The 11,187-nt window shown below is 44.4% G+C and overlaps 2 annotated features.

The window, feature by feature from the left end:
- Window positions 5,813-6,013: a silencer, noted in NCBI's record as "peak4702 fragment used in MPRA reporter construct". NCBI's record gives its function as "represses an SCP1 promoter by STARR-seq MPRAs in K562 erythroleukemia cells {active_cell/tissue: K562}" and the evidence as "EXISTENCE:reporter gene assay evidence [ECO:0000049][PMID:32103011]".
- Window positions 10,266-10,773: an enhancer, noted in NCBI's record as "NANOG-H3K27ac-H3K4me1 hESC enhancer chr3:75339189-75339696 (GRCh37/hg19 assembly coordinates)". NCBI's record gives its function as "activates a minimal SCP1, AML or CMV promoter by ChIP-STARR-seq in primed H9 embryonic stem cells {active_cell/tissue: H9 hESC(primed)}" and the evidence as "EXISTENCE:reporter gene assay evidence [ECO:0000049][PMID:30033119]".

Raw genomic sequence — 11,187 nt, forward strand, 5'->3', positions numbered from 1 at the left:
TAACGTTTGCCAATATGACTATTATAGGTACCAAAAAATCCTATCTCAAACCCACATAGTATATCCAAATACAAAGTCATCTTGTAATGTATGTCTACACATTGAGACTTCTTGACAAATATAGTAACTAGCGGTTTCACCTTGCAGAAATTATTAAATTGTTTTTGCTCCTTTTTCTTCAACTCTAAAATGGTTATAATAATAGTTATTTACCTTGTTGGGGCTCAGAAACCAATACCTCAAAATATGCTGCTCTGGCATGCCAAAGTAAAGAAGCACCTTTAAGGTCTCCCTCTGACTTTCCTCTGCCTTCCTGTTTCTCTGATCCTTTTGATTTTCCAAAAGGGGCTTTCTCTGAAATTTCCCTATTTGTCTGAGGAAACTTCTTGTAAATTAAAGGAAATTATCTTAAAACCCTCTTCTTAGGAATCTCATCAAATAACCAGTAAGGATTAACACTGGAGAAGAGGAGAAACTGGAAATTGTAACCACATGCAGACAGACTTTTCATCTATTCTTCCAAGGGCAGTTGTGAGAAATTACTTGGGGAACCGTACTTGCATAATAAGACAGCCCTTGTTCACAATGCAGTTCTGCCCCACACCCTTCTCTAACTTGTCCACAAGCTATTGTTTGTTCTTTGGTTCCATTCAGCATCCAAAGAGAATCTTTTGTAAATCATTATCTTGTCCTTGGGTCTGTTCATTCACTTTCCTCTCTCCAATGAAGAGGATATTTAAGCATCATTCATCTGGCCCTTTTTTGAGTTTTGAATATTTTTTGTGTGACTCCTATGCACATGATAAATTTGTTATGCTTGTCTCTTATCTTATCTTTTGTTATAGGAGTTTTGGCCATGACCCTTTATGAGGAGAAAAGGGATCACCCCCTTTTTGCCTCTACAACCTTATAGATATTTAAATATCTTTTATGGCATAGTCAATGTATGTGTGGGGAATAAAAGCTGCCTTTGATATAAGCTTAGTCCAGACATGATCAGGAAAGGAAATCTGCCATGAAGAAAATCCTGTATGGAAGGCATTTTCAGGACAGTGAAAGATGGGTTCAGAGAAGCAGGGCTACCAGCAGAGACACTCCTCAAATGCTAGCAGAAAAAAACACTAACAAATGCCTGACTGCAGAAGAATCCTGGGAGCCTGGACTTGCCTCTCATTCTGAATTGCATTTATTCTGGGAACTAAGCAGAGTGCTGTGTCAATCTGCTATGAGGGAGGCAGAATTATAAATAGAATATGTGCTAGAAATAGAAAATGAGATGAAAGATGGCATTTTGGGGCTTTCACGGCTTCCCCCAGCCCCCCCACCTCCTTCAGCAGAGGGAAAAAAGTCATCCAGTTTTGGTGAAGGCAAAAAATTCAGAAGCCATCATTCCAAGAGCAGTGGAAGGGAGGAAGTAGAAAGTATGAAAGTGGTGAAAAGTATAGAAGTGGGAAGAGTTGAGTGAGATGTGGGAGGGTAAGCTGGCCTCCTGGGCAGATGAGAGGAAACCAAAGAGAAAAGCCCAGGGCTAGGACACAGAATGAAGATTTACCCAGCTGGAGAGAAATTTGAAATAGCAAGATAGTAGTAACACATGGCCAGACAGGGATTGGGTTGGAAAAGAATTAAAAAGCTTAAACCCGGCTGGGCACAGTGGCTCATGCCTGTAATCCCAGCACTTTGGGAGGCCGAGGCGGGTGGATCACGAGGTCAGGAGATCGAGACCATCCTGGATAACATGGTGAAACCTCGTCTCTACTAAAAATACAAAAAAATAGCCAGGCGTGGTGGCAGGCGCCTGTATTCCCAGCTACTCGGGAGGCTGAAGCAGGAGAATGGCATGAACCCAGGAGGTGGAGCTTGCAGTGAGCCGAGATCCTGCCACTGCACTCCAGCCTGGGCAACAGAGACTCCATCTCAACAAATAATAATGAATAAAATAAAATTTAATTTAATTTAAAAAGCTTAAACCCTAAAAATGGAATTAGGTGGGAAGGCTAATATGACTGTGAGATAAAAGACCCAGGCCTGATCAGTAGCATTCCCAGGTAGGTCCATTTACCTTTTTCCCCAAAGCAGACCTTGACCTTCAGCTTTCAAGGTGAAACTTGACCTTCACCTTTCAAGGTGAATATCTTCAAAGGTGTTTTTGAATCCGTAATGAGGTATCATTTCATCAGGTATGAGGAAGGGTGTTCTAGCTATGGTTGAGGAAGGCTTAGTGGGAAAAAGTCTTGAAGTTGGAGGTGGGTTCTGGCCCCAGCATTGCCATCAACTAGATATGTGACCTCAAACAAGTCACCTGACTGGCCTGTGTGAGCTCGGTTTGGATATCATCTCTACCGTGAACTGCCTGTTTAATCTTGATCTATGTACTTCCTTTATTTATAGGCTTTCACAGCTTTCTTCCCTTCAGCAGAGGGAGAAAAGCCATCCATCCAGTTTTAGTGGAGGCAAGAAATTCAGGAGCCATCATTCCAAGGTAAGTGAAAGGGAAGGAGGAAACAAAAAGTATGAAAGTGGTAAAAAGTATAGAGGTGGGAGTGCAATGTAAACAGAAGGGTGGGAGGGTAAGCTGGTTTCCTGGGCCTTCGTAACTAGTCTTCATTTTTTTTCAAGTCCACAAAATAATGGGTATTAGACTCTACGTCTTAAAAGCTGCTGCCTGATGTAAAGTTCTACACTTTAATACTTGAATGAATACTTAGGGTGAGAGAGAATAGTGACCCCCTAACTTAATTTGTTCTACAATAGGAAACAGCTCTCATGGAGGTCATTCAGCTGAGATGCTGGATGAATTGACAGCTTTAAGTCCTTCTATAGTCAGAATATGTCTCCTCTCTACCTGGCAGAGATCCATGCCTCCCACCATTGCTGTATTGCAGGGGTACCAACTTTGGATCTGTGCTGCTTGAGTAGGGGAGCTCCCACAGTGTTTGTTCATACAAGAGGGTTTTCAGCAGCTACCCACCCAGAATAATTTGGGAAGAAGGTCTATAGATGCCATAAAATGGAGGCTCCTCAAGGAATCCTCAGGGGAAATGTTACAACAGCACTCTGCTGAGATGAGATGCACCTAGTTATTTTGCAAGTAGAAGGTGTGGAACTGCAGGTATGGTTCTGCTTTGTTGTCCCAAAATGATCAAAGTTTTGCAGCCCAAACAAGGATTTGGGGAAGTCACAGCTCAGAGAATACCCAAGCACATCAGTGTTCAAAAGTGTAGTATGAAGTGGTACTGCCCAAACTCATTAATATACCAGCCATGTGGTATATATAGGAACTTGCATTCTTTTACCTTACAAATTACATTATCAATTCACCTTGATGCAATAATGTGTCCTCCCATTGGTCCTTGAGCTTTACTAAGATAGTTTCTTTGGCCAGAATCCCTTTGAGGTCACTGTAAAGAGAACCCAACTTACCTATGGAGATTCTATTGCTTCTGTTCTGTCTTCTGCTCATCTATTTCTCAGCCCTGATGGAACTAGTATGCAAAACACTAGTAGGGAGATAATGTTGAATCTTGTCAGCCTTTATAACTTGATCTAGTAAGGTACTCCTCAAATAGCTCAGGTAATCTGTCCCAATATAGTCCTGATTTTGCCCAATCAAATATACTTCTGACAATAGATATGAATTCAGACACTGGGCCACTGGGTCACACTGTCTGGGGGTCATCAGTCTTGGAGGTTAGGAGTCCTGGCTGGGAAAACAGGAGACTCACTATCCTATCAAAGATTGTATACAGCACACCCATATCTGGGGATGAAATTGGGTCTTGGTCAGAAACCATCCTTGTGGGAAACCGAGGGCATTCCTAGTAGATGAAGTATCCTCTCTGCTGGGGGTATTTTGTCACAGTGACAAAGTGTGGTGTTTTGCAAAGCTGATTGACTACTGTCACCTCTTAGAAGGAGGTAAACCCATCATAAAGATTGATTGATGGCAGGGTCAGACTGACTATGGCTTACAGTTGGAGCTCTGTTTGAGTTAAGGTCTTGCTCCCTAACTCAAAGAGAAGTGTAGCCCTGGACAGGTAGCATTAGCATCATCTGGAAGTTTGTGAAAAAGCAGACTCAGGCCTCATGCCAATCCTACTGGATCAAAACTCCATTTGACAAGATTCCCAGGCAATTTACATGCCCATTAAAGTTTAAGAGGCCCTGGGTTAGGGTGCTTCTTTTGAAAAGAACATAAGCATCTCTTCCAGAGGCCAGTCATTTACATTGTAATAAGATAGCTTAATCAGAATACTTCTCATTTATCCTTTAGCTAAAATATGCCAGAATGGGAATTTTTGTTGCAAGGGAAAGAACATCACCAAATCCCCAACTCCTGACCACTACTGTAACTTCAGCTCTTACCATGGGGATCTAGCACATAGTAGCATCAACATATCTTTTGTCATTTGGCTGAATAACTCATTCACAATGAGAAAGAATATGTGGTTTTCTGTTATTCAGTATTTGACATATGCTCAGGTGTGGAGGGCAGAATAACAGACTACAAATGTCCATGTCCTAATCCCTAGAACCTATGAATATGTTACCTTACACAGAAAAGGGGAGTGGGTTTGCAGATAAAATTAAGGTGGCTAAGCAGCTGATTTTAAGATAGAGAGAATGTCCTGGGTGATCCAAGTGGGCCCCATATAATCACAAGTGTCCTGAAAAGTGAAAGAGGGAGGCAGAAGAGAAGATCAGAGTCAGAGAAGGAGATGTGAGAAGGACAAGTGCTGCCCTTGCTGGCTTTGAAGACAGAGGAGGAGGGCCATGGGTTGAGAAATGTGGGTGATCTCTAGAAGCTGGAACAGGCAAGGAAACTCTCCTAGAGCTCTCAGAAAAGAACGCAGTGCTACCAACACTTTGATTTTTGCCCAATAAGACATGTGGTAGACTTCTTACCTACAGAACTGTAGGGTAATAAATTTATGTTGTTTTAAGCTATTAAGTGTATAGTAATTTGTTATGGCAACAATAGAAAACCTGTAAAACAGGAAACAGTTCCTTTGTTTGGAATATGAAAAACAGACAAAATGCTAGAATTATGTATATTTTTTTCTTTTTCATATCTTTTGGAATTCACTTGCACATGTTTGAGGTAATCCTGCTTCTCAGTTCGTGGAATATTATCATTTATTCATAGAAGAACCAACCTTTTTGTGAAAACATTTTTTTAAGGTTTATTGTTTTTTTCCCTTCATCTATCATTCCTAATCCCACTGCCCTCCTTGCACAGGCATCCACTATAATACATTTAATATAGTTCTTCCAATCCATCCAACAGACGTTTATTTAGATATATGAGCGTCCTTACAAAAATACACAAGGCCGCTTTATGTGTGTGTTTGATACATAAATGGAATTGTGCTATAAATCCCATTCTGTTTTTGCTTTTTTACTCTTAACTCCATTTTTGAGATCAATCCAAGTTTCTAAATGAAAATATAATTCATTATCCTATTGTATACACAAACTATATTTTACCTGTACATTCCTTGGACATAGACACCTAGGTTGCCTCTAGCAGAGTGATAGTGAAGCTTGTTAGGAACATCTTGTGTTCCCTGGGAAGAATTTCCCTGGGTGTATACCCAGGAGTGGGCTTGGTGGATTTAAGGTGCACAATTATCCTTCAGAACGGCTGCATCTGCAGTGGGTGAGGGCTCTCTTTCCCCACCTTTTTGCCAATGCTTGGTAATATCTGACTTAACAAGTGATATGCAATGGGCAACAAGTAGCTGTGAAAGGAAGTGCTATATAGATGACTTAGTGGAAACCATGCTGTAAATGCAGAATGAGCAGGGAAATGTTAAAAAATAATTCTTGGAGGAAGAGTCTTACCAGCAGGACCGATGTGGCTGGGAAGAGGAAAGCCCTCCAGTCAAGAAGGTTGTGTGTGTGGCTCACCATTGAGTCATCTTTATCACCAGTGAGATCACCCTTCTTCTGACTACAGCTATCTGGAACTCAGTCTAGTCTATTTCCAGCCTGAGCTTTTTGCTAACCTTCCCTGGACATGTGAGGGACTCTCTTGACTCAGCTTCCAACTCATTCTCTGCTTTAACTTCCTCTTTGCCACTTTACAAATTTGTGTGATTTAATGACTTTTGACAGACACATGCCCCTGGGAAACCACGATTATTAACACATGAAACATTTCCATCATTCCGAAAAGTTCCCTAGCATATGTTTGCAGTCCATCCTGCCTCCTGCTCTTAGCATCATAGAACTACTGATTTGCTTTCTGTCACTTCAGGGAAGTTCACATTTTCCAGAATTTTATATAAATAGAATTGTTTAGTATGTACTCTTTTGTGTCTGGCTTTTTTCCACTCAGCATAATTATTTTGAAATTTATTCATTTTATTGACATATCAATAATTTATTTGTTTTTACTGCTGAATAGTATTCTATTGTATGAATATACGGCATTTTGTTTCTTTTCTTGAGGGACATTTGTTTTGGGCTATTATTATTAAAGCTTCTATGGACATTCATATATAAGCTTTTGTGTGGACATATGTTTTAATTTTCTTGGATAAATACTTAGGAGTCCAATGGCTGGGTCATATGACAGGTCTATGTTTAACATTTTAAGAAACTGCTGGCCAGGTGCGGTGGCTCACGCCTGTAATCCCAGCACTTTGGGAGGCTGAGACAGGTGGGTCACCTGAGGTCAGGAGTTCAAGACCACCCTGGCCAATATGGCAAAACCCCATCTCTAATAGAAATACAAAAGTTATTACGGTGTGGTGGCACATGCCTGTAATCCCAGCTACTTGGGAGGCTGAGGAAGAAGAACTGCTTGAACCTGGGAGGCAGAGGTTGCAGTGAGCCGAGATCGCACCACTGAACTCCAGCCTGGGTGACAAGAGCAAAACTCTGTCTCAAAAAAAAAAAAAAAAAAAGAAAGAAAGAAAGAAAGAAACTGCCATACCCTTTTTTCAAAGTGGTCCTACCATTTGACATTCTCAACAGCATTATAGGAGAATTCTAGTTGTTGCCACATTCTTGTCAAAGGTTGGTAGGGTCAGTTTTTTAAATTTCTTGCCATTTTAGTGACTGTGCATTGGTATTTCATTGTGGTTTATTTGCATGATAACTAATGCTCAACACCAACTAATCACGTTGAGTATTTTTAATGTGCTTATTTGCCATTCATATATCTTTTTTGGTGAAGTGTCTCTTCAAATATTTTGCCCATTTAAAAATTGTGTTGGTTCTTGTTATTGAATTGTAAGAATTCTTTCTATCCGGATATAAATCCTTTGCCATATATGTGTATTACAAATGTTTTCTCCTAGCCTTCCACCTCAGCCTCCCAAGTAGCTGGGAATGCAGGTGTGCACCACCACTCCAGGTTTTTCTGTTTTTGTTGTTGTTTTTGGTTTTTTTTTTCTGTAGAGACAGGGTCTTGCCATGGTGCTGAGGCTGCTCTCAAACTCCTGGGATCAAGCAGTCATCCTGCCTCAGCCTCCCAAATTGCTGACATTACAAGCATGAGCCACTGTACCTGGCTAACTTTTCATCTTTTAAAGTAGTGTCTTGCAAAGAACAACATTTTGAAATTTTAATGAAGTCCAGTTTATCAACCTTTTGGTTCATTGTCCATGCTTTTTGCATAGTAAGAAATCTTTGCCTGCCTCAAAATTGCAAAGCTTTTCTTCTGTGTTTTCTTCTAGAAATAGTTTTAGATTTTTACATTCACTTGTGCTTATTCTTAACTTCTCATTTGGTCTCTTGGATCCCTGGGTCCATGGAGCTATTCTGGAAGGGTTACTAGTATCTCTTTTTGCTTGTAATGGGAGCAAACCTTAGGACCTAACTGGAGTCCTTTGATTACATCATCAGCCATTTGGGCTTGCAATCACATAAACACACTGAAGGAAATTCCAGTAGGAGAGTGTTCTCTCCTACTTAGGTACTGTAATAGAGAATAAGACTAGTTATCCTTTTAGCCTAAATTGGATTTATATCCCTCTGAAGAAAAGTAGGTGGGGTGCCAGGAGCTGATTTGGCTAAAAGAAGAGAGAAGGTGTTCTTGCTGAAATGCCTGGGAAGGACAGGGGGATCAGGAGGCAACAAGGTGTCTGTCCTGGATATTTATGATGAGCCAAATTCTAGCAAGTCAAGCAGAAACTGAAGGATGTGATTTCATAACCGATGTTGTGAGACAGAAGAGCACAAAGGTGCTGCACTGGCACCTGGAGGGAAAGTGTCCTAAGGGGGAGAAAGAAGACACTTTTCCCCACTTCATGTAGACTCAGCATGGTTTTAGCCAGAAAACACTCTGGGAAGTCTAGGGTCACTTTGGCACCATGGGAGTTTGCCCCTCTGGTTGCTCCAAGAACACAGGTATTAATGTAGCACAGATATTAATATTAATATTAATTAGCACAGATATAAATGTAGTCACAGAAAGAAAAATAGGTGAAAAAGAGACACGTTCTTCAGTGCATGAGAGACTCCCTTTGGTATCTCTCAGAAATGTGGAAGCAGAGGCTATAGCACAAGCCTGGGTTATTGCTAGTAGCAAGACAGAAAATGAGGCTTGGGCAAGCTGTAGTTATAGTTACAATGGAAATGACTGGCCCAAGAGAGTGCTACAGATTACATAACAGCCACTAAGTAGAAGGACAGGCAGAAGGGGTAGGCAAGACATGTTCTCTGGCTGTTGCAGTCACCAAAAAGCCAGGGTACAAAGGCAGGGAGTTATCTGAACTGCCTTCCTGGAGGGTCATGCATTTAGGATCTGACTCATTGATTCTTTTCCTTAATTTTGCTCTGTACATTTCTCTAAGAGGGCTAACCAGTGTCAAGGTTTGATAATATCTGAAATGGTATTCTGGTACCAAAGTATCATCTCACAAAGTGTTTAGAAATTGCAAAAGAGGCTCCCTCTCCCTCTCCCTCTCCCTCTCCCTCTCCCTCTCCCTCTCTGTCTCCGTCTCCCTCTCTTTCCACGGTCTCCCTCTGATGCCTAGCCAAAGCTGGACTGTACTGCTGCCATCTCGGCTCACTGCAACCCCCCTGCCTGATTCTCCTGCCTCAGCCTGCCGAGTGCCTGCGATTGCAGGCGCGCGCCGCCACGCCTGACTGGTTTTCGTATTTTTTTGGTGGAGATGGGGTTTCGCTGTGTTGGCCGGGCTGGTCTCCAGCTCCTAACCGTGAGTGATCCGCCAGCCTCGGCCTCCCGAGGTGCCGGGATTGCAGACGGAGCCTCGTTCACTCAGTGCTCAATGGTGCCCAGGCTGGAGTGCAGTGGCATGATCTCGGCTCGCTACAACCACCTCCCAGCCACCTGCCTTGGCCTCCCAAAAAGCCGAGATTGCAGTCTCTGCCCGGCCGCCACCCCGTCTGGGAAGTGAGGAACATCTCTGCCTGGCTGCCCATCGTCTGGGATGTGAGGAGCCCCTCTGCCTGGCTGCCCAGTCTGGAAAGTGAGGAGCGTCTCTGCCCGACCGCCATCCCATGTAGGAAGTGAGGAGCGCCTCTTCCCCGCCGCCATCCCATCTAGGAAGTGAGGAGCGCCTCTTCCCCGCCGCCATCCCATCTAGGAAGTGAGGACCGTCTCTGCCCGGCCGCCCATTGTCTGAGATGTGGGGAGCGCCTCTGCCCCGCTGCCCCGTCTGGGATATGAGGAGCGCCTCTACCCGGCCGCGACCCGGTCTGGGAGGTGAGGAGCGTCTCTGCCCGGCCGCCCTGTCTGAGAAGTGAGGAGCCCCTCCGCCCGGCAGCCGCCCCGTCTGAGAAGTGCGGAGCCCCTCCGTCCAGCAGCCACCCCGTCTGGGAAGTGAGGAGCGTCTCCGCCCGGCAGCCACCCCGTCCGGGAGGGAGGTGGGGGTCAGCCCCCCGCCCGGCCAGCCGCCCCGTCCGGGAGGGAGGTGGGGGGGGTCAGCCCCCCGCCCGGCCAGCCACCCCGTCCGGGAGGTGAGGGGCGCCTCTGCCCGGCCGTCCCTACTGGGAAGTGAGGAGCCCCTCTGCCCGGCCAGCCGCCCCGTCCGGGAGGGAGGTGGGGGGGTCAGCCCCCCGCCCGGCCAGCCGCCCCGTCCGGGAGGGAGGTGGGGGGGTCAGCCCCCCGCCCGGCCAGCTGCCCCATCCGGGAGGTGAGGGGCGCCTCTGCCCGGCCGCCCCTACTGGGAAGTGAGGAGCCCCTCTGCCCGGCCACCACCCCGTCTGGGAGGTGTACCCAACAGCTCATTGAGAACGGGCCATGATGACAATGGCGGTTTTGTGGAATAGAGAGGGGGGAAAGGTATGGAAAAGATTGAGAAATCGGATGGTTGCCGTGTCTGTGTAGAAAGAAGTAGACATGGGAGACTTTTCGTTTTGTTCTGTACTAAGAAAAATTATTCTGCCTTGGGATCCTGTTGATCTGTGACCTTACCCCCAACCCTGTGCTCTCTGAAACATGTGCTGTGTCCACTCAGGGTTAAATGGATTAAGGGCGGTGCAAGATGTGCTTTGTTTAACAGATGCTTGAAGGCAGCATGCTCGTTAAGAGTCATCACCACTCCCTAATCTTAAGTACCCAGGGACACAAACACTGCGGAAGGCCGCAGGGTCCTCTGCCTAGGAAAACCAGAGACCTTTGTTCACTTGTTTATCTGCTGACCTTCCCTCCACTATTGTCCTATGACCCTGCCAAATCCCCCTCTGCGAGAAACACCCAAGAATGATCAATAAATAAATAAATAAATAAATAAGAAAGAAATTGCAAAAGAGAAAATATACTTTACAATCCAGATACCTGGCAGTTAACCACATGATCAAATTTAGCATCAATGACAGTAGGACAACTAGATATTGTATACCTCTTGCTGTAATATATTATGAAGTACACAACGTCAACTATGAAGCATTCTTTTTTTTTTTTTTTGAGATAGGGTTTTGCTCTGTCACCCAGTTTAGAGGGCAGAGGTGCAAAGCTCACTGCAGCTTTGACCTCCCAGTCTCAAGTGATCCTCCCACCTCAGCCTCCCTGGTAGCTGGGACTACAGATGTGTGCCACCATACCTGGCTGATTTTATATATATTCTTTGTAGAGATGTTGTTTCACCATGTTGCACAGGCTGGTCTTGAACTCCTGTGGGAGTTCTGCCTGAAAGTGCTGGGATTATAGGTGTGAGCCACTGTGTCCGAACTATGAAGTATTCTTGCCAAAATGAATTAACCTAAATCTAA

This window comes from Homo sapiens, chromosome 3, assembly GCF_000001405.40.
Source record: "Homo sapiens chromosome 3, GRCh38.p14 Primary Assembly".
Taxonomy (NCBI): Eukaryota; Metazoa; Chordata; class Mammalia; order Primates; family Hominidae; genus Homo; species Homo sapiens.